General features: G+C 36.9%; 1 protein-coding gene and 1 pseudogene across 2 annotated transcripts in view, besides 2 other annotated features; one reads left to right on the top strand and one right to left on the bottom strand.

Annotated features, from left to right (window-relative positions):
* VWA8 (von Willebrand factor A domain containing 8) overlaps positions 1-24,155 on the top strand; it is a 394,275-nt gene that overhangs the window by 136,098 nt on the left and 234,022 nt on the right. For both annotated transcript variants that reach the window (NM_015058.2, NM_001009814.2), the window contains exons 15-17: positions 5,626-5,794; positions 8,237-8,314; positions 13,672-13,787. In NM_015058.2, the coding sequence (NP_055873.1) occupies positions 5,626-5,794; positions 8,237-8,314; positions 13,672-13,787 (363 nt within the window). The remainder of the gene's footprint in view (positions 1-5,625; positions 5,795-8,236; positions 8,315-13,671; positions 13,788-24,155) is intronic.
* Positions 12,051-12,100: an enhancer, noted in NCBI's record as "active region_7633". NCBI's record gives its function as "activates an Ori minimal core promoter by ATAC-STARR-seq in GM12878 lymphoblastoid cells {active_cell/tissue: GM12878}" and the evidence as "EXISTENCE:reporter gene assay evidence [ECO:0000049][PMID:35858748]".
* On the bottom strand, positions 17,070-17,335 carry RN7SL515P (RNA, 7SL, cytoplasmic 515, pseudogene; annotated as a pseudogene).
* Positions 21,483-22,682: an enhancer, noted in NCBI's record as "MED14-independent group 3 enhancer chr13:42376466-42377665 (GRCh37/hg19 assembly coordinates)". NCBI's record gives its function as "activates an origin of replication core promoter dependent on BRD2, BRD4, P300/CBP and CDK7 cofactors, and independent of MED14, by STARR-seq in HCT116 cells {active_cell/tissue: HCT116}" and the evidence as "EXISTENCE:reporter gene assay evidence [ECO:0000049][PMID:35650434]".

Here is a 24,155-nt window from a genome sequence, read left to right as displayed (position 1 = left end):
TTAAATTGGTAGCTCCCAGGGTTTTCTCCTTGGCCTTTTCTTTTCCTTGGGCAATGTCAGTCACTCTTATATCCTTATCTGTCATTGATATACTGAGCATTCTCAGTATATCCCCTCCCCTCCCCTCCGGTCCCCTTCCCTCCTCTCCCCTTCCCTTCTTTTCTTTTTTTTTTCTTTTTCTGTTTCTTTTTCTTTTCGATAGGGTCTCATCTTTCACCCAGGCTGAGGTGCAGTAGTGCTATCATAGTTCACTGCAACCTCAAACTCCTGGGCTCAAGCTTTCCTTTTGAATAGCTGGAACTACAGGTGCACACCACCACACTAGACTAATTAAAAATTTATTTTTGTAGAGATGGTGGTCTCTCTATGTTGCCCAGGCTGCTCTTGAACTCCTAGCCTCAAGCAGTCCTCCCTCCTCACCCTCCTAAAATGCTGGGATTACAGGCATGAGACACTGCACCCATCCAATATACTGAGCATTCTTTAAAACCACTTTCCAATCTAGTTTTGTCTCCTAAGTGCCATCTGACTACTAGATATCTCTCCTTAGGTGTCTTAGAGAAACTTTGAACTCATTTCTACAAACCTGCTATTCCTCTTAAGTTACCTTAAGTTAGTGAATGAAACCCCTTCCTCTCCGCACACATAGGCTAGAAGTTTAAAGTGTCTAATCTGTAAATTTGATCACATCACTGTTTAAGTCCTTCAGTGGTTTCCATCGCCTACAGTGTTTAGGGCCAGTATCTACACATGCCTGCCTTGCCAGCCTCATCTTTCACCTCTCAGGACCAGCACAGCAAACTTCTGCTATTCCTTCAAAAGTGATGTCCTCTGTGAAACCTTCTCTGACATTCCTCTAGCCCTTTCCAAGACCAAGACAGATTTAAGAGCTTCTTTGCTTCTAGACCCAGTTGGTAAATTTAGATACCTGTCCTGCTTTCAGAGAGGAAACTCAGGTAAGGGTAACTCTATTAATCCAGTTTTAGTTGACCTTCTGAGCTAGCAGTGTTTCCTTATGTGAACCTAGTAATTAGGAATACTTTGATGCCTTTTAATGACAAAGTCTATTAACTGAGGGTCTCATAATTAACAGCTTCTAGCAGTGGGCTACCAACCCTTTCAACTTTATAGTGTGAAACCCGGTTTCTAAACAATTATATTTGGCTTCTTTGCCAACCTTCATTGTATAGTAATTCTTCACCAAGACTATACATCTCGATGATCTCCGGAGTGCTCTACAGGCTTTTATATTCTCTGCAGGTAATCACATGCCTAACATACCCTTAGAAGGGTTGGAGTCTTCTTTTCTCATATTACAAGACACCAGGAATGCTGTGGACGTGGTGGTTAGAAATAGTGTGATGGCCACATACACCAGATACTATGCCTGTATTTCCCTCAGGAAATAGAGACCAAAATAGAACTCCTTCCTTTGATGAGAAAAACTTCTTTAGGGAAAGGGGGAGTATAAATACTATAGGATGCTAAATATGTCTTTTCCTGCTGTTGGCCAGACCATAAATGAGGGAGTTGAGAGTTTCTGTTATTAACAGTTTATATTGCCAAGAAAGGGCTTCTGGTTATCTTGGGGAAACAATAAAGATTAGTGGCCTAGTCTTAGATGTACTTATATATGCTCCAGTGTTTTTGCATTTTTTATTAAATATTTTATTTATATTTGTTGCTATTGAACACTGAAAACAGTTTATAATCTCTCAATCTTAGCGGTGAACATAACTGGACATTTGAGCACAATCCTTGATCGGTTATATTATCTCAACCCTTTAACTCTTACCCGTATTTGAAGACAGGATCCAAGCACTATCTCCTAGCTTCCTAGAAATCTTGGTATTTCTTTGCAAGCAAATCAGACCATATAAATTTTTTAAAAAAATTCTAGATAGATCCAGGATTTTATGCCCAAGTCTTTGTGTTTGATTTTCAAAACAAAAAGCCTTAAGGAAATTCTGATTTTGAAAATAATTTTTTCTGAACATTTTTATGGTCAAGGAACCATTTGAAACCCTTTGCCTTGTCATCCCCGACTCCTGCCCCTTTTACCCTCCTCTCTCATCCCCAGGGTTCTGCTTCTGGTCATTATATAGAGCTCATATTTTCTAGAGTTTTATATAAATGGAATCACATAGTGTGTGCTCTTTTTTGTCTGGTTTCTTTCACATAGCTTAAGTGTTTTGAGATCATCCATGTTGTTATGTACATTGATAGTTTGTTCCCTTTTACTGGTGAGAAGCATCAGAAAGTACTTTATAAGTGATGTAATCATTTATTATTGTATGTTTTGAGTTTGTCTTTTTGATTCAGAGAGTGTACCTCTTCTTACATATTTATTCAGGACCAAGTTTGACTAGCTTTTGGCTGGGACACCATAAGTTCAGTTCTTATTACTTACCTTTGTTTGTCCTTCCCACCAAAGATCTTCAAAAAGTTAATAGCAATGATGGTCATTAACAATAGCCGTATACACTTACTTATTTAGCGTCTGCTTTCTTCCCCAAGTATTACACTAGACCCTGGGTGATAAAAAGATGCATAAGGAATGTGTTCATGCAGTTTGCTACACTGCATAGGAAAAAGGGGAAATATGGTCTGTGTACAGAACTGTATAACTCTGGGTTCTAAATTGGAACATTAGTATTGTAGTATGGAAAACTAATGATGAAATCTGTTCTAGCTCATGATTGATGTATTTATAGAATCCTTCCATATTATTCTTTCAAGTTCCCCAATGTACAAATTCAATGAAAATGTACCATAGGATTCCCTTTAAAAACTGGAGATTTTTGAAGTCTTTTTTTGTTTTATTAAAAGCTCTGTTGAGGTATGATTGACATATAATAAACTATGCATATTTAAAATGCACAGTTTGATAATTTTTAATATTTATAAATACCCATGAAACCATCACCAATATCAAGATAATGAATCTATCTATAATCCTCAAAGTATCCTCAGACCCGTTGACATCCCCAACTCCTGCACCTTTTACCCTCCTCTCTCATCCCCAGGGCTCTGCTTCTGGTCATTATATAGAGCTCATATTTTCTAGAGTTTTATATAAACGGAATCACACAGTGTGTGCTCTTTTTTGTCTGGCTTCTTTCACATAGCTTAAGTGTTTTGAGATCATCCATGTTGTTACGTACATTGATAGTTTGTTCCTTTTTACTGGTGAGAAGCATCAGAAAGTACTTTATAAAAACTCACACTTATGCCCACAGACAAACATAGTGACTTCAATATTTTTATTTTAAAAATTGTTTTAAATGATCTTTTTGCTCTCTAAATCTGTAATCTTTAGGAAATAATATCTTTTTGTCTGAAATTAAGCCGTATCTGTAGTTTCATTTATTTTTTTCTTGTTGCTAAAATTTTAGTAAAATTAAACCTAACCTTAATTTTAAATTTTAATGGCACTTATCTCATAATTTTTTCATTATCTATCACTTCTTTGGTCTTTGTATTACCCACCAGTTTATCAGATCACCTTAAGTACACAGCAGATCCTCTGCTCTCTAACTTTCTGGCTTGTGGAACCTAGCTAGCATCATCAGGAAATGACTTCCCATGTAACCTATTTGTATGTAAGGAAGCCTTTAGGGAGAACCTAGCAAACAAAAAGGCCCTTCTCATCCTGTTATTCAGTAGTTCGGTGACTGTTTTTATAATCATTATACATTTCTCTGCCTAACATATCAGCTGTCTTAGAAACTGCCTTCTTCAAATTTGGCCAGCTTACTTAAGAACGCTGCTGGAGTCAATACTAAAAAGCAAACTATTGACAATATATGGGCCAGTAAATTATCATCACCTTTAAATGTAAACCATTTAGCATGCTCTCATTTTAGTTGTTCTTTTAGTTCTAATTTTACAGCTCCACTGTGGTACCTGGCTTCCTGATCTACTGGTTTAAGGATATAAATTAGACTTCCCCTTTTGGCTTGCCTGTTGTATTTTGACTTTGTTTATTCCCTGATTTGGTATCCTTCACTATCTTAAGTGAGAAACTACATCTGCAGCTTTAATTTTGGGTAGCCAAACCAGGCTCTTTCTCTCCTACCTTTTTTTGTCCTAACTAGGAGAGAAGAGGATCAAGGATACATCCAACATCTGTTGCTGGGCTTTATGGCAGTTTTCTGGATTATAGCAAACCACTTAGCAGAAGTGGAAAATGGAATAACCTCCCTCTTTGGCTTTCCCTCACAGGATTTTCTGTGTCCAGTTTCTGTCACGTGGCTATCTAATTACTAGCAATCTTAAGTAATTGTGCTATCCTCTGGACTTTCAGGCACTGTCCATGTTGTTATCCTTCCCTCTTTTTCCAGAACAACTCTTGGACAGATCACTCCCCCAGGCCCTGCTAAAACACCTGCAAATAAGTCTTTTTCTTTCTACCTAGAGAAATGAAATGACATCTGGTAGTATTTGTGAATTCATTTCATCTAGGCCTTTCATGTGACCAGTTTCTAAAAATTGGTTTCCCCTTGTTTTCAAATGATGATGTGGCCTTTAAAATTACAGATCATGCCGTCAGGGACTTGGTAGACCTGCCTGTTGTATTGATGGCACTTGGTCTTAACTCTTCAGAGTACTCATCTGATTCTTTCCACTTGTGTCCTACCTCCTGGTATTCTAGTTGCTTAGTCACTTAACTTTTGGGTTGTAATATAATGTTATAGTTAATGGTGAAATGGCAGTTATGTACCTATATTTTTGTTTTTCTGAAGCTCTTGGCAAGTGTTTATGTTTTATCTCTCCTTTCTCTTAGCAAGAACTATATTACCCTCAAAAAGCATATTTCTGCTGGGTTTTTTAGTAGAATTGATAAAAATGGACAATATTATCCACATGATTAAGATTCTGATACAGGGTTTCTAGGTTTTCCAAAAATAATTCAAGTCATTTCACAAACCAAAGGAAGTCTTATCTTACTCCTCTGTGTGTACTAGAAAATTTACATGCTTCCTCAGTTTCCCTACCAGAGAGTTTTAAGAGAGATCACTTTAAAATCATAACATTTCCTATAAGAATGACCAAAGAATGCATTCTATAAAGGTTTTATTTTCTCTGCCTTTTTAAGACTTAAGTGTTCTTATTCCCAATCTAAATTTTAAATTCAATCTAACCCTTTATGTTTCTTACATTTTCTGTACTGTAAAGTCTCCTTATCCTGAATTGTGCCTCTTGGTCTTTTTGATTGACATAGAGTGGGTTCCTTGTGAGACAGGAGATTCTGAGGGGTTTTAAATGAATAAAGATGGTCTATATAATGAATGTGAACTGGATGGGATTTTATTTCAAGACATTATGGAGAAAATATGTTGTAGGCATAACAGTATATCAAAAGCAGTGGTTCGTGTCAGGGCTGGAGTTTCATGAGTGGTTATTGTACAGCATTTACTAGCAGTGGTAGTAGGTGATTGTTTGTTTTGATCTTAGGTTCTTAGAATGTCCTGACTTTGTTTTTTTCAAAGCTAATCCTTTGGATGATAACATTGACATTATTAACAGTATGATAGCCCTAACGTTGCCTAGACTTTAGTTACCATGATCTGATTTCTTACATGAAAGATATGTTATTTTTTTTCATTTTTTTTCCTATTTTAGATCCATTTTTCCTATCCATCCCTCCTTCAGAATCATTGCCTTGGCAGAACCCCCTGTTATTGGAAGCACAGCACACCAGTGGCTGGGACCAGAATTCTTAACCATGTTCTTTTTCCATTACATGAAACCACTTGTGAAAAGTGAAGAAATCCAAGTGATTAAGGAAAAGGTAAGAAGAAAGCCAATCTTAGTCTATTTTCTTAAAAAGCTGATCTCTTTTTAAGGCACTCTGATACATGCCAAAGTAGAGTTAGACATTTTTAGTTTTTTCTTCCCATTTACTCCCAAATTTCTTCATACAGTGGTGAAGGTCAGTGGATCTTAAACTTTCACATTTTTCAGCATCATCTGGAGGACTTGGTAAAACAGGTTTCTGGGCTCCATCTCCATAGTTTTTGAGCTAGTAGATCTGGGATGCTATATTAAAATTTGTATTTCTAACAAGTTCTCAGGTGATACTGATGCTGCTGGTCTGGGAACCACACTCTAAGAACCATGAATGTGGCCTGTCTCTCCTCTTTCCTCAGGTGGAGGCCATTTTCGAATCCTTTTTATTTTTCTGTTTAGTGAAAAGTGACTATTTTAAGTTCCTACTATAAAAGGAGGCCAGACACGTAAATAGTAAGTAGTCCTGGTCTCTCAAGACTGTAACATATCCTGTACTTGCCTGATTAGTCCTTTGATGACAACTAGTGTGTGTGATCCATTGTTTTAATGTGTGCCTTAAGCATTGTGGTTAGCACTTTTGGAGTTTTAGAACTGCACGCTTCAATGCAGTAGCACTAGCCATGTTAAATTATTACTATTATTATTATTATTTGTTTGAAACTAAGTCTTGCTCTATTGCCCACGCTGGAGTGGTGTGATCTCGGCTCACTGAAACTTCTGCTTCCTGGGTTCAAGACTCCTGCCTCAGCCTCTCAAGTAGCTGAGACTACAGGTGCGCACCACCACACCTGGCTAATTTTTCTATTTTTAGTAGAGACGGGGTTTCACCATGTTGGCCAGGCTGGTCTTGAACTCCTGGCCTCAATTGATCCACCCCCCCTTGGCCTCCCAAAGTGCTGGGATTACAGGCATGAGCCACCACACCTGACCATGTTAAATTAATTTTTTAAAAATTCGGCCAGGTGCGGTGGCTCATGCCTGTAATCCCAGCACTTTGGGAGGCCAAGGCGGGCAGATCACCTGAGGTCAGGAGTTCGAGACCAGGCTGGCCAACATGGTGAAACCTCGTCTCTATTAAAATACAAAAAACTAGCTGGGCTTATTGGTGCACACCTGTATTCCCAGCTACTCAGGAGGGTGACACAGGAGAACTGCTTGAACCTGGGAGATGGAGGTTGCAGTGAGCCGAGATCACACCACTGCACTCCAGCCTGAGTGACAGAGTGAGACTCCGTCTCGAAAAAAAAAAAAATTCCGCTTCTCAGTCACTTTTCAAGTACTCAGTATCCACATGGGAGCTTTTGGCTACCACATTAAACAGCATATATACAATGCTCATCATCATAGAAGGTTCTATTGGACAGTACTGTTCTAGATCACTAATTATTAACTTTCTATTTAAATACATTTATTCCCTTTGAAACATCTGAATGAACTTATTAATTGTAGGTCTTGTAAGCATGGTTGTAAATAAAGGCATAGGTTTTAGAGTTTAATGACTTGGCTCTCAATGTGAAATCCACTACTTATTAGCTTCCAGATCTTGAGTAAATTACTCAGTCATAGTTTCCTCATCTAAAAATGGGGATAATACTATTTATTACATCATAGGATTGATTTAAAGAATAAATGAAACAAAGTATATGTGGACTAGGACTTAGCATTTAAAAAAATTCTAATTACTTAAATGACCAATGAAACCCTAAGCAGTATTCTTCTAAAATTGTGACACTGTCCTAGTCATTGTTTTAGTATCTTTTTTTGATCTTTTAAAATTAAAACCTTAAATTTGTTATTGCTTAAACAAAAATTGCTTATAGCTTAATTAAGTACTTAATTGAAGTTTGTTATAGTTAAAAGCAATCGATATGTGTTATTTGGGCAATTGCTCTTCCGAGTTCATTGATATGTTGATCATACCCCTCAAATATGTGTTTTACATGTTTTTGGAAAAATGGACACCTTAAGTATCCATTCTGTAAATAAATGTACCTTATGTCACTTAGATATGTATGTAAGATTGCTGCTAAATAAGGGAACTTGGTTTCAGTAAGACAACACCTAATTAGTACTTAAAATGTCATGCTGAAGCTAACAAAATAGGAAATGATGATACATGAAAAGTTCTTTATGGGTACACTATGGGCCAGTTTTAAATTGAGTTAAAGGCTCCCTTCAGTTTTATCGTGGTGATAGAATTGTATATGGAGAAGAGTGTCTTGGTTTAAGTTACCTGATTCTTAAAGAGAAAGCAGGGGTTTCAGTGTTTCCTAAGAGGTTGAATAAGCAACTTTATCCATAAGTTAAACATTTAGCCAACAATGAATGACTTTTCTAAAAATGTAATTCTAATATTATTTGCTAAGTAGTCATAATTTCTGATTGATTGATCAGATATCCCGATTTATTCCTTCTGTTTGTCCTCAACTCTTTCAAAAAATAGGTCCCAAATGTACCTCAGGAAGCTCTGGATAAGTTATTATCATTTACACACAAACTCAGAGAAACACAGGATCCAACGGTAAGTCTAGGCTTTTTCCACAGGATTTTCTATTGTTGACATGCTGCTGGTTTTCTTTTCTTAGAATTCAGTACTTAAAATCTATTTTTTAAGCTGGTATTTTATTTTTTGGAATCCCTTATGCTATGCCTTTGTTCTATGCATATGGTTTACTCCGATTTCAGTGATTTTAACATCTCTTCCAGCTCCTCCTCGCTGATGTTATAGAAAGAAACTTGTAGCTCCAGAGTACTTCATGTTCATGGGGGTTCTGCTCTGTCCCCTCTGTCTCCTATGCTGAGCAGTGTTATCTATTCTTATGGCTTCAAGTACCTATCACAAGTTAATGCCTACATCTTTATGTTCAGCTTCTAACTTCTCATTTCTGATTGACTTGTATTTCCATTCCCAGATGGCATGTTAGAAAGATAGAGGGCTGTCACTGTTTAACTCTGTAAGTCTCAGTGTTCTCATCTGTAAAATGGGAACGGGAACAGTACCATCTACCGCATAAAATGGTCTCAATGATTAAACATAAAAATGTGTGTAAAGAATCTCCTTCTTAGTAACTGCTTACTAAATGTTAATTTCTTTCACTTTCCCCCTGGATACACCGAGATCATTGTAAATTCACATATCTTGTACAACTAAACTGTCTTTCCATTTTAAATCTGTTCCTATTCTTGATTTAATTTCTTGACTTTGTTGATAATCTAGCTGCCAAATTACCTAAATTAGAAACCTAGACATCATTGTTGATTCCTTGCTTTCCTGCTGTCTTTACTTAATCTGAAAACAAATCTCACCAGTTAAGCATCTTGATGTCTCATCTGTTCTCTTATCTATTGTCAGTAACTGTCCTAGTAGTGGATTTCATAATCTTTCTCCTGGAATATTATATCCTCTTGACTGCCTTCTTTACCAATAATTCATTCATCATATGACTCTCTAGTAATTTCCTGTTGCTATTGTAACAAGTTACCATAAATTGATGGCTTAAGATAATAGAAATTTATTTTTTCTTTGTCTGGACAACAAAAGTCTGAAATCAGTATGACTGAGCCAGAATCAAAGTGTCAGCAAGGCTGCACTCCATCGGAGGCTCCAGGGGAGAATCTATTCCTTGCCCCTTCTGGGTTTTGGTGGCTGCCAGCATTCCTTGACTAGTGGACTCACCATATCAATCCTGCCTTCATCTTTACATTACCTTCTCCCCTGTGTTTGTGTCAAATCTCCCTCTTTCTCCCTCCTACAAGGAGGATTACATTTAGGGTCCACACACATAGTGCAACATAATCTCCACATCTCAAAATCCTTATCTTAATCTTATTTGCAAAGTCAATTTTGCCATAGAAAGTAACATTGACAGTTTCCAGAGATTAGGATGTGGATTTTTGGGAGGATAAGGGTGGTCACTTTCTGGCTGTCACAGGTCCCCTCTGGGGCCTCATTCCAAATACTTAATCCCCCTCTGGGGCCTCATTCCAAATACTTTCTCCTTTACCCATTGTTTTTAGCTACAGTGGTGTCTTTGTTTTTCCTTGAACTTACTAGTGCCTGCCTCAGGGCCTTTGCCACTTGGTGTTTTCCTCTACCTAGATTATTCTTCCCTGGATAGCTGCATGTTTACTCACTTTCCTTTTTGGGATTTGCTCAGGTGGTCACCTTTTCTGTGAGGCCTTCCTGAAGCTCTCTAGAGTCAAATTTCTATTCCATTTTATTTCTATCCCTCTTTCTGCTTTAAGATTCTTTATAGGGCTTCTTACTCTTTGACATAATGTATGTTTTACTCACTAATTTTTTGTTGTCTATCTTCCTTCTCTCGGATTTCAGTTCCAGGATTGCAGGGGTTTTTTCTTTGTTCCCTGTAGTCTCCCCAGCATCTGGAACTTTGCACAGTAGCTATTCCTGATTTGCACAGTGTTCCTACTGTGCAAAGTTGCAAATGTTGGCAATACTACAGAGAACAAAGTTAGAGATTAGTAATGTATTCCACAAGTATCTGTTAAATAAATGGATGGATGAATCTTCCATATTGTCCCTGGAATGATCTTTCCCAAATCCATTTCCTAAGTTCTTCCCCTTGTTTAAAACCGTTAAGGGATTGACTCTCTTTGCCTGTAGACTGAAGACAGCCTGCTAAACATGCCTGCTGAGTTCCCTCTGACCCTAAGCTGCTCATCAGGCCTCAGTTTCTACAAACTCTCTTGAAGCATCCTCAGCTCTTCCCACACTTAGCTTCTTGCTATTTTCTAATACCGCTTATACTCAAATGTCTCTGCCTTAGATAATGCCTAGAATGTGCTTTCCCTACATCCAGTTGTCCCTTAGTTTCTCTCTTCTCTTAAGTCTCTCTCAGCCCCCTTAGGCAGCAGTAACTAATATCTCCAATCTGCTTTCATGACACTTGACATATATTTGCAAGTTGTATTATATATTGTTGACCTATTGCAGTTGTATTATAATTTACTTTTATTTCCCCAGTTGCTATTTGAGCTCCTTGAGACTAAGTCCCATTTCCCAGCCTGCGGCCTGGCACATAATAGACACTTAAATCTTTGGTGAATTAATGAATAAATTGATTAATTAAAATTTTATTAACAGATTGTCCCTAGAGTTTTCTCTCCTTTAGAACATGCTACATTTTCATTCTTTTATAAAAATGAAGAATAGAAAAATAATGTTTAATAATTTCTGATGAGAACCTTTATGTTTTTAAGCTGAAGTATTACTAATCATGTTAATATGAACAACCCCTTCGAGGTGTACTCTTAAACTGTATAACCATGGTAACTAGGGGAATGTGCTTCATATCTTCACCGCCCCCCTTTTTTTTTGCAAGATAAAACTGCAGTTAGAAATTTGATATAAATGTTAAATACATTAGGAATTTTTAAAGTATACTCTCAATTTTTAATTGATAATAATGTGAGAGCAGAGATTACCAAACCCTTTATTCAACACTTAAATGGCTCAACACAAAGCTTATCTCTCATTTTCTCAACCCTGGTTATTACTGCAAAGCATTTTGGTGCTTTCAACTAGAAGAACTGGAGAATTGGTGTTCAAATATATGAGCATTCCTTATTGATGACTGGAATGAAATGTGAAGCCTGAATTCAGTGTCATGCTTAGAATGAGATTAGAATGTTATACCCTATGGTTTAACAGGACTCTTATAAGAATCCTCTGGTTAGAGTCATTTGTCAAATATTTTTTATGATTAAAATATGAATTTTTCATGGTCCTAGGTATTAAAAATGGGAATTTCTGAGTTATATTTGACTTTTGATATCAGTCACATTGCCTGAATTTTATCCTCAATACATGTTTCTTTCTCATAGCAAGTCAGTTGCCAAGTTTGTTGTATCCTACCTCTCCATTCTTGTTGCCATAACCTTACTGTAGGACTTTTTCCTTTTATAGGCAGATTATTGAAGTAGCTTTCTGTTTCCTGTCTCAGTTCTCTCTGTCCTTCATCCACTTTCTATGCTGCTGCTGATTTAAATTAGGAAGTAGGCTAGTAATAACCTGATTTGAAAATCATGTTACGACTTTACACATAGCAGAATCCTAGTGCCTTTAAGAATAAAGCCAAACCCGTCAGAGTGTCATTCATAGGTCTTTGTTGTTTGAGAGCAAGCCTTCCAGCAGGACCTTCTAGTAAAGCTGGTCTCATTTCCTCATGTTCTACTTGTGGTTCCATTACTTTTGCTTTCATGCCTTTGATGAGAGGATTTCTCATGCCCATTTGAATATTTTAACTGCCTATAACAGCTGTCTACTGTTCCACTTATTTTAGCATTGAAGTATATACTATTTTGAATTGTAATTTATGATTTATTATATTTGAATATTGTCTCCATATCTGGAATGCAAATTAATTGAAAACAAGAATGGACCAATGTCTGCTTGTAATTGAGTTCTTTGAAACTTAGAATGTGTTTTTTAATAGAAGAAAGGATATGTGGTGGTCATGCTTCCAACCTAATTCCCAAAGGAAATATAATACTAATGTTGTAGCTGAGATAGAATACTAACAGCAAACCAATATCTTATGGAGATGTGAAATACACAAGGAAGGATAAATAAATTATTTTTTTCTTCTTTGGGACATACGGAGATGACCTTAGGTGGAACATTAAAACAAGCAAATGTGCAGTGTGTCTTTGACATTCTCCCCTCATCCATTCTGAACCCTTTGTTAATTTCATAGAGTCCTCTTTTCTAGGCCCTTGAGTTCTCAGGGCCACTTTACTGCCCTTATCACCCTCTGTGACATTTCATACTGACCTGCCTTGCCCTCCCAAAGGTCCAGTTGCTTCAAAAGTGCTTCTGTCCTGTGGTTTTCAGTGATAATCACTGTCTTCTAATGCTGCTGATCTAAGTTAGGAATTAGGCCAGTAATAATCTCATTTACTAAATATATGCTAATATGTAGGTCCCATCACCTTTCTCTGCTGGGTTTTTTGTTTTCATTTTGAAGAGGCTGATTTTTAAATAACAGTTGTTGCCATTCGTTGAGCACCCATATGTGTGTGACATGTGCTAAGCACTTTAGAATCATTTTCTAATTTAACCTTCATAACAACCTTAAAGGTGAGGGCATTACTATTGCCATTTTAAAGTTGAGGGAACTGAGCCTTGGAAAGGTTAAGTAATTTGCCAAGGTAACACAGCTAATAAATAGGATACCGACTTATCTGATTCAAAAGCCTATAAACTTTACCATTATGTTATGCTGCCTGCCAAAAGAATTTCAACAAATATTTATTGAGTACTGACCATGTCCTGAGTTCTGTACTAGCAACTCTATTCGTGGAATTTTGGGAAATGTAATATAGCAAAGTGAAAGTATTCTGACAGCATAGGGGAAGGATTCAAAACAGCAAGCTGCAGCACAAGTGACAAATTGGTTGACACCTCTGTGGCCAACAGCCTAAATTGTTTACAACTCTTTTTGGCTATTTTAGAAACCACCGATTTGCTTAAAGCTTTAAACATTTCCGTGGTATCTTAACACCTTGGCTTTGTGTAAGGAGAAAAAGTGAACAGTCAATCATACAGCCTAAGTCCAGTGTGACCTTTGTTATGTAACATCCTTCCCCCATTGCCCCTCCCATCTCCAACTTAGCACAATTAAAATACATTAATTAAATTTAATTGATAAATACTTTAGATTTTTTAAAAACTATCTTCAAGGATGTTTTAAGTGTAAATTGGTTTCTGTTTATTTTGATTTGTAATTAATTAACAGCACATACTTTAAGTTTGGCCTTACCCCTTCAGTAATAATGAATTCTGCTGTGATATCCATCTAAAGGGACTTTAGCAAGTTGAAACAAGACTCTTAACACAATGTATTTGTCTTTTGATAGGCACAATCATTAGCGGCATCACTTTCTACCAGACAACTGTTGCGAATTTCTCGTCGGCTGTCACAGTATCCTAATGAAAATCTTCACAGTGCTGTTACTAAAGCCTGCCTTTCCAGGTAAACATATTCTTTCTCACTGCGTGTAAGTTTCTGGATCTTCACTAAAACTATAAGATAAGTTTAACTGATGGTGCATATTCCCAATTCTTCAAAATATATTGGTCTGAATGTAGAGCTATTTCAGCCTTGCCTTCACTGATTAGAACTTATTTAATACAACATATTATCTTTTAAAATTAATTTTTGGTCCCAGCATCACCAGAAGCAGATGTTGGTACTATGCTTCCTGTACAGCCTGCAGAACCATGAGCCAAAATAAAACCTCTTTTATTTATTAAAAATAAAATAAAATAAAATAAATTTTTATCCTTAATTTGTATGGGTACATGGTCAGTATATATTTATGGGGTACATGAGATACTTTGATACAGGCATAGAATATGTAATAATCACAACAGGGTGAATGCCATATCTATCACCCTAAGCATTTATCATTTCTTTGCATTATGAACGTTCCAATTATACTTTTAGTTACTTAAAAATGAACAATAAATTGTTGACTATAGTCACCTTGTTATGCTATCAAATACTAGATCTTCATTCTATCTATGTTTTTGTACCCATTAACCATTCCCTTCCCCAATTCTCACTACCCTTCCCACCTCTGGTAACCATCCTTCTAGTCTCTCTTTGTGAATTCTATTGTTTTAATTTTTAGCTTTTAGAAATGAGTGAAAACATGTGAAGTTTGTCTTTCTATGCATGGCTTATTTCAGTTTAAATAATGTGCTGTAGTTCCATCCATGTTGTTGCAAATGACAGAACTTCATTCATTCTTTTTTATGGCTGAACAGTACTCTATTGTGTGTGTGTACAACATTATCCATTTGTCTGTTGATGAACACTTAGGTTGCCTCCGAATCTTAGCTATTGTGAATAGTGCTTCAATAAACATGGTAGCACAGACCTCTCTTCAATATATGGATTTTCTTTCTGTTGGGCATATACCGGGCATATACCTAGCCTATACCTAGGATTGGTGTGTCATATGGTTGTTCTAGTTATTTTTTTTTCTTCTTTTTTTGAGGAACTCCATATAGTTCTCTATAGTGGTTATACTAATTTACATTTCCACCCACAGTGTACAAGGGTTCCCTTTTCTTCACTTACTTGCTGGTATTTGTTATTGCCTATCTTTTGGATAAAAGCCATTTTAATTGGGGTGAGGTGATACCTCATTATAGTTTTGATTTGCATTTCTCTAGTCATCAGTGATGTTGAGTACCTTTTCATATACCTGTGTGCCATTTGTATCTCTTCTTTTGAGAAATTTCTATTCAGATCTTTCATGCATTGTATAATCAGATTATTAGGCTTTTTCCTACTGAGTTGTTTAAATTCATATATTTTATCAATCCCTTGTCAGATGGATGATTTGCAAATATTTTTTCCCATTCTGTGGGTTGTCTCTTCACTTCATTGACAATTTCCTTTGCTGCCCAAGAAGCTTTTTAACTCAATGTGATCCTATTTGTCCCATTTTTGCTTTGGTTGCCTATGCTTGTGGGGAATTACTTAAGAAATATTTGTCCTGACCAATGTCTTGGAGAGTTTTTCCAATGCTTTCTTTTAGTAGTTTCATAGTTTGAGGTCTTAGATTTAATTCTTAATCCATTTTGATTTGATTTTTGTATATGGCAAGAGATAGGGTCTACTTTCATTCTTCTGCTTATGGATATCCAGTTTTCCCAGCACCATTTATTGAAGAAACTCTCCTTTCCCCAATGTATGGTCTTGACACATTTGTCAAGAATGAGTTCACTGTAGGTGTATGGATTTGTTTCTGGGTTCTCTATTCTGTTCCATTGGTCTATGTATCTGTTATGCTAGTACTATGCTGTTTTGGTTACATAGCTCTATAGTATAATTTGAAGTCAGGTAATATGATTGGTTCAGTTTTGTTCTTTTTGCTCAAGATGGCTTTGGCTATTCTGGGTCTTTGTGGTTTCATATAAATTTTAGGATTATTTTTCTATTTCTGTAAAGAATGTCATTAATATTTTGATAGGGATTGCATTTAATCTGTAGATTGTTTGTGGTAGTATGGACATTTTAACAGCATTGATTGTTCCAATCCATAAATATGGAATATCTTTCCATTTTTTAGCATCCTCTTCAATTTCCTCCATCAGTGTTTTATAGTTTTCATTGTAGGGGTCTTTCCCTTCTTTGGTTAAGTTTATTCTTATATATATTATTTTATTTGTAGCTGTTGTAAATTGGATTACTTTTTTTATTTCTTTTTCACATTGTTCACTTTTGACATACAGAAGCGCTACTGATTTTTGTATGTTGATTTTGTGTCCTGCAACTTTAATGAATTTGTTGATCAATTCTAATAGGTTTCTGTTGGAGTCTTTAGGTTTTTTTTTCAAGTATAAGCTCATATCATCTGCAAACAAGGATAATGTAATTTTTTCCTTTCCAGTTTGAGTACTTTTCATTTCTCTCTTGTATCCAGTTGCTCTAGGTAGGTTTTCCACTACTGTGTTGGATAACAGAGGTGAAAGTGTGTATCCTTGCCTTGTTTCAGATCTTAGAGGAAAGGCTTCCAGTTTTTCCGATTCAGTATTGATATGGGTTGGATCTGTGTCCCTGCCCAAATCTTGTGTCTAATTCTAATCCCCAGTGTTGGAGGTGGGGCCTGGTGGGAGATGACTGGATCATGGGGGTGGATTTCCCCTTGGTGATGGTCTCATGACAGTGAGTGAGTTCTCATGAGATCTGGTTGTTTAAAAGTTTGTGGTACCTCCCTGCCTCTCTCTCTTTCTCCTGCTCTGACAATGTGAAGTGCTTGTTCCCCCGTTGCCTTCTGCCATGATTTTAAGTTTCCTAAAGCCTCCCCATAAGACAAGAAAATGCCAGCGTCATGTGTCCTGTACAGCACCATGAGCCAATTAAAGTTCTTTTCTTTATGAATTACTCAGTCTCAGATATTTCTTTATAGTCGTACAAAAACGGACTAACACAAGTATGATACTAGCTGTAGGTCTGTCATATATGGCTTTCATTGTGTTGAGGTATGTTCCTTCTATACTCAGTGTTTTTTTAAAAAAGTTTATTTTTATTTTGTTAGTGATTTTAAATATGGAGTCTCACTTTGTTGCCAGGCTGTATAGTTTTTGTCTTGAAGTCTATTTTGTCTGATATAAGTATAGTGACTCCTGTTTTTTGTTTGTTGGTTTGTTTCATTTGACATGGAATATTTTTTTCTGTCCCTTTATTTTCAGTCTATGTATCATCATATGTGAAGTGTGCTTGTTGTAGACAACGGATCGTAGTGCAGTGGCTATTCACAGGCGCGATCTCCCTGCTGATCGACACAGGAGTTTTGACTGGCTCTTTTTCTGACCTGAGCCAGTTCACTCTTCCTTAGGCAACCTGGTGGTTCCCCGCTCCTGGGAGATTACCATATTGATGCTGAACTTAGTGCAGATACCCAGTCAGTATAGTGCATTACAACCCAGAACGCCTGGGCTCGAGCCATTCTCTTGCCTCAGTGTCCTGAGTAGCTGGGACTACAGGCATGCACCACTGTGCCCAGCTATCCTCATCATTTGGAGGGTTTTCATCATGAAGGGATGTTGAATTTTATAAAATTCTTTTTCAGCATCAATTGAAGTGATCACATGGTTTTTGTTTTACCTTCTGTTGATATGATGCATCACATTGACTGATATGCATGTGTTTAACCATGCTGGCATCCCTGGCATAAATCCCGCTTGGTCATGATGAATGATCTTTATAATGTGTTGTTGAGTTTGGCTTGCTACTATTTTATTGAGGATTTTTGCATCAACATTTGTCAAGGATATTGGCCTGTAGTTTTCTTTTTTTTTGATGTGTCTTCTCTGGTTTTGGTATCAGGGTAATAGTGGCCTTGTAGAACAAGTTTGGAAATATTCCCTCCTCCTCTATTTTTCAGAATGGTTTCAGTAGGATTGGTATTAGTTCTTCTATAAATGTTTGGTCAAATTCAGCAGGCAAGCGATCAGGGCCCAGGCTTTTCTTTGCTGAAGACTTTTTGTTATGGTGTCAATCTCGTTACTTGTTATTGGTTTGTTCACATTTTCTATTTCTTCGTAGTTCAATCTTGAGAGGTTGTGTGTGTTTAAGAATTTCTCCGTTTCTTCTTGGTGTTCCGATGTGTTGGCATATAGTTTCTCATGGTAGCTTCTAATGATCCTTTGTATTTCTGTGGTAACAGTTCTAACGTCTCCTTTTTCATCTCTGATTTTATTTATTTGAATCTTCCTTTTTCTTAGTTGGAGTAAAGGTTTGTCAATTTTATCTTTGCAAAAAACTAACTTTTCATTTCATTAATCTTTTCCTTTTTTTTTTTTTTGAGATGGAGTCTCACTCTGTTGCCAGACTGGAGTGCAGTGGCACGACCTCAGCTCACTGCAATCTCCCCTTCCAGGGATCAAGCAATTCTCCTGCCTCTGCCTCCTGAGTAGCTGGGATTTCAGGCATGTGCCACCACACTCAGCTAATTTTTGTAGTTTTTTTTCTTTTTTTTGAGACAGAGGCTTGCTCTGTTGCCCAGGCTGGAGTGCAGTGGCATGATCTTGGCTCACTGCAACCTCTGCCTCCCAGATTTAAGCTGTTCTTCTGCCTCAGCCTCCCAAGCAGCTGGGACTACAGGCACGTGCCACCATGCCCAGCTAATTTTTTGCATTTTTAGTAGAGATGGGGTTTCACCATATTGGCCAGGATGGTCTCGATCTCCTGACCTTGTGATCCGCTGGCCTCAGCCTCCCAAAGTGCTGGGATTACAGGCGTGAGCCACTGCGCCCAGCCTATCCTTTGCATGTTTAATTTAAATTTTATTTGTTTCTGCTCTGATGTTTATTATCTCTTTTCTTGTACTAATTTTGGGTTTGGTTTGCTCCTGCATTTCTAGTTTTCCAAGATACATTGTTAGGTTATTTGAAGTTTTTCTACTTTTTTGATGTAGGCTTTTATGGCTATAGACTTTTCTTTTATTATACTGTTTTCGCTATATCCTATAGGATTGGTGTGTTTCCATTTTCATTTGTTTCAATAAATTTTTCAGTTTTCTTCTTAATTTCTTCATTGACTCACTGGTCATTCAGGAGCCTATTGTTTAGTTTCCATGTATTTGTGTAGTTTCCAAAATTCCTCCAGTTACTGATTTCTAGTTTTATTCCATTGTGGTCACAGAAGATACTTGACATCATTTCTTTTTTTTTTTTTTTTATTTTTGAATTTTTTAAGACTTGTTTTGTGGCCTAATATATGGTCTCTCCTTGAGAATGATCCATGTGCTGAGAAGAATGTGTATTCTGCAGCCGTTGGATCACATGTTCTGTAAATACCGGCAGGTCAGTTTGGTCTGTAGTGCAGATTAAGTCCAACATTTCTTTTTTTCTTTTTCTTTTTTTTTGAGATGAAGTTTTGCTCTTATTACCTAGGCTGGAGTGCAATGGCGCAATCTTGGCTCACTGCAACCTCCGCCTCCCAGGTTCAAGCGATTCTCCTGCCTCAGCCTCCCAAGTAGTTGGGATTACAGGCGTGCACCACCATGACCAGCTAATTTTTGTATTTTTAGTAGAGATGGGGTTTCTCCATGTTGGTCAGACTAGTTTCAAACTCCCAACCTCAGGTGATCTGCCCATCTCAGCCTCCCAAAGTGCTGGGATTACAGGCATGAGCCACCGCACCCAGCCATGTCCAATATTTCTTCGTTGATTTTCTGTCTGGGTGATCTGTCCAATGTTGAAGTCTCCAGCTATTATTGTATTGGGGTTTATCTCTCTCTTTTGCTCAAAAATATTTGCTTTTATATATTTGGGTGCTCTAGTATTGGGTGCATATATATTTAAAATTGTTATATGCTCTTGCTGAATTGACCCTTTTATCATTGTATAGCAGTCTTCTTAGTCTCTTCTTATAGTTTTTGTCTTGAAGTCTATTTTGTCTGATATAATTATAGTGACTCCTGGTTTTTCTTTTGTTTGTTTGTTTCATTTGGCATGGAATATTTTTTTCTGTCCCTTTATTTTCAGTCTGTGTATCTTCATATGTGAAGTGTGTTTCTTGAAGACAACAGATCATTGAGTCTCATTTTTAAAAATCCATTTTGCTACTCTGTCTTTTGACTGGAAAGTTTAGTCCATTTACATTCCATGTTATTGATGAGTAAGGAATTATTCTTGCCATTTTGTTGTTTGTTTTTAGGTTGCTTTATGGTCTTCTCTTTCTTCTTGCCTTACTTTCTGTCTTCCTTTAGTGAAAGTGATTTTCTCAGGTGGTGTGTTTTAATTTCTTGCTTTTCATTTGCTGTATATTTGGATTTTTTGGTTCGAGGTTACCATGAGGCTTGCATATAATGCCTTATAACTCGTTATTTTAAACTGATGACAACTTAATACTGATTGTGTAAATAAAGAGAAAACTAATAAAAACTCTACACTCTAACTTTGTCCACCCACTTTTTCACTTTTTGTTGTTACTGCTTATATCTTATTGTACTATCTATGTCTTGAGAAGCTGTTGTAGTTATTATTTTTGTTCAGTCATCTTTAATCTTTATACTCAAGTTATAAGTAGTTTACATACTACAAATAAATGTTATGACATTCTGTCTTTTTCTGTATACTTACTATTACCAGTGAATTTTGAGGCTTCAGATATTTCTTACTGCTCATTAATTTTTTTTTAATTTTTAAATTAATTTTTTAATTCCTTTTTTTTTCCCTTGTAGGACAAGTGTGACATTTATTAAATCCGTCCACTTTTGTTTGTCTGGGAAAGTCTATATTTCTCCTTCATGTTTGAAGGATATTTTTGCTGGTTATTCTATTTTAGGATAAAAGCTTTTTCCTTCAGCACTTTAAATGTATCATGCTACTCTCTACTGGCCTGTAAAGTTTCCACTCAGAAGTCAGCTGCCAAACCTAGTGAAGCTCCATTATATGTTGTTTGTTTCTTTTCTCTTCCTGCTTTTAGGTACCTCAGATATCTTGAGGTTGTCTTTTTTGAGTTAAATTTGCCTGGTGTTCTATAACCTTGTTGTACTGGAATATTGATGTCTTTCTCTAGGTTTGGGAAGTTCTCTGTTATTATGCCTTTGAATAAGTCTTCTACCCTGATCTCTCTCTACCTCCTCTTTAAGGCCATTTACTATTAGATTTGCCCTTTTTAGGCCATTTTCTAGATCTTGTAGTCATGTTTTATTCTTTTTGATTGTTTTATTCTTTTGTCTCCTCTGACTGTGTGTTTTCAAATAGCCTGTCTTCAAGCTTACTAATTGTTTCTTTTGCTTGATCAATTTTGCTGTTGACAGACTGATGTATTCTTCAGTATTTCAATTGAATTTTTCAGCTCCAGAATTTTTACTTGATTTTTAAAAATTATTTCAATTTCTTTGTTACATTTATCTGATAGAATTCTGAATTCCTTCTCTGTGTTATCTTGAATTTCATTGAGCTTCCTCAAAATAGCTATTTTCCATTCTTTCTTTAAGGTCACTGATGTGGTTTGGCTGTGTCCCCACCCAAATCTCATCTTGAATTGTAGCTCCCATAATTCCCACAAATTGTGGGAGAGACCTGGTAGGAGATAATTAATCACGGGGGCGGATCTTTCCCATGCAATTCTTGTAATAGTGAATAAGTCTCATGAGAACTGGTGGTTTTATAAAGGGGAGTTTCCCTGCACAAGTTCTCTTCTTTTGTCTGCTGCCATGTGAGACGTGCTTTCACTTTCTGCCATGATTGTGAGGCCTCCCCACCCACATGGAACTGTGAGTCCATTAAACCTCTTTCTTTTGTAAATTTCCCAGTCTCAGGTATGTCTTTATCAACAGTGTGAAAATGGACTAATACAGTCATATATCTCTGTCTCTCTGAGATTGGTCACCGGTGCCTTATTTGATTGTTTGGTAAGGTCATGTTTTCCTGGATGGTCTTGATGCCTGTGGATGTTCATTGTTGTCTGGGCATTGAAGAGTTGAGTATTTATTGTAGTCTTCCTTGCCTGGGCTTGTTTGTACATGTCCTTCTTGGGAAAGATTTCCAAGTATTCAAAGAGAATTGAGTGTGTGATCTAATTCTGGTCACTGCAGCCATACCTGCATTAGGGAACACTCCATGCCCTGTAATGCTGTGATTCTTGCAGACTCATAGAGATACCACATTGGTGGTCTTGGGTAACCAGGAGAATTCCTTGGACTGCTAGACAGAGACTCTTGCTCTCTTCACTTACTTTCCCTCAAACAAATGGAATCTCTCTCTCCATGCTCAGCTGTCTGGAGTTGGGAGAGGGATGGCCATCACCACTGGGATTGTGCTGGGTCAGACTTGAAACCAGCACAATACAGGGTCTTGCCCAAGGCTTGTGGTGAGTATTGTCTGGCTACCACTTATGTTTATTCATGGCCCAACTATTCTTTAGTCAGGTTGTGATTCATCCTGCTAGGCCTGGGAATCTCCCTTCAGGGCAGTGGGTTCCCTTCTGGCCCAGGGTGGGTGTCAAAATGTCATCCAGGAGCTAAGTCCTGGAATTGGGGACTTTAGCAATTTGTTTAGTGCTTTATTTTACTTTGGCTGAGCTGGTACCCAAATTGTAAGACAAAGTCCTCTTTGCTCTCCCCTCTCCTTTCCTTCAGTGGAAGGAATCTCTGCCAGAGCTGCAAGCTGTGCTGCCTGGAGTTGAGGAAGGGACAGTGCAAGCACTGCCTTGGCTGTCCGCACTGGTGTCTGACTGGGTCACATGCACTCCAACTCTACCGACTCAGCATAGCACCAGGACTTGCCCAGGAATTGTATTCCTGTGGCCTAGACAGCCTTTCAAGTTTATTTAGAACACAGAGCACTTTAGCCTGTGGTGGTGGGGCTAGTTAGAATTCAGGTTCTGACCCCTGGGATGAATGATTATTCCCCTCTAGCTAGGGCTGATCAAAATGCTACCCTGTTGCTCTCCACTGTGACAGGGTAGCACTGAATTCCAATGCAAAATACCACAATCAATATGCTCTTTCTCTCCCAAGCACACAGATTCTTTCTCCAAGCTATGTAGCACCACTAGGGGATGGGGAAGAGGTGGTGTAGGCAATTCAAGACTGTCTTTCCTACTCCCTTCAGTGCCTCCTTCCTTCATATGATGTTGAAACCAGGTACTGTGATTGCTCACCTGGTTTTTGGTTCTTATGAAGGTGCTTTCTTATGTGGATAGTTGTTAATTTGGTGTTCCTGTGGAGGGGAGGACAATTACTGGAGGGTTCTATTCAGCCATCTTGGTCTACTTTCATTCCATTAATATATTATCTTATTTAGACATTCAATAATTTTCAGAGGTATTTTATAAATGAGAAAATTGTTTAAGTCACTCAAGTCACATAATTATAAAAAGTGGGTTTGGGATTTGAATACTGGTTCATATGTCTTCTGAGCTAGGGCTCTTTAGCACTATTACACTTATTGCCTCTAAAATTTGCATTGGAACTTTTCATTTTTGACAGCACTGCTCAATATCTAAATTCGACAAAACTAACATTTTTTCAGTCTGTACTAATTGTTTTCATACCAGTTGGTTAGTGATTATAAAACATTGGCTTGTAGAATTTTCTTACAGAATTAAATTTACATGAAGCTATTTTAAAGAATAGTAAGAAAAGATTAAGAACAATTTCCAGTAAGCCCAAAGATTTCGTCTCTTTTCATATGATCTAGTAATTATTTTTATGGTGACTATGCTTGTTGTCCATTCATTTCTTGATAAAAGGAATTAAAGGAGAATCTATTTTCAGTTTAGCAGAATCTTTATTACCCTCTATAACCTCTCAGTTTAGTGGACAGTTTTTCTTGTAGTTAAATTAAGCTCCTTGTGTTGCAACTTGAATTTGTTCTTGTGTGTATCCAGCTAAAATGAAATTCCTCTTTAGTGTCTTCAGAGTAATTATTTGAAGAATGAATAAGTATAGGAAATAAGAATATTGATTCTTTTATTAAATATAAAAATTTTGGACTTTCAAAGCATTCTGCAGACTGTTAGATATGCCCTGGTAGTTGAATCAACTTTTAATTTCCTTTATTAAAAAAATAAATAAAAATAAATTGAAAAACTAAAAATAAATAATAAGAGTTGATCTAAGAAATTAAAAATACCAAAGTTTGGAGAAATATAAAGCATATGAGAATATTGAAAGCTAGCAGTGTTTATTACCAATTCAGTTACAATTTATTACTAATTCAGTCTACAAAGAAAACATGAGAACATTTTTAATAAAGGTCAGAAAAATTAAGGGACGCATTTCTGTCATATATTTTATTATCTCCCTAGGATAGATTTTTAAGACAATATTGACAAGAAATAATTTTTGTGTGATTTTATATTTCCTCT

This window comes from Homo sapiens, chromosome 13 (assembly GCF_000001405.40).
Source record: "Homo sapiens chromosome 13, GRCh38.p14 Primary Assembly".
Lineage (NCBI taxonomy): Eukaryota > Metazoa > Chordata > Mammalia > Primates > Hominidae > Homo > Homo sapiens.
The sequence above is the reverse complement of the archived record's forward strand: the minus strand, read 5'-3'. Positions and strand labels throughout refer to the sequence as shown.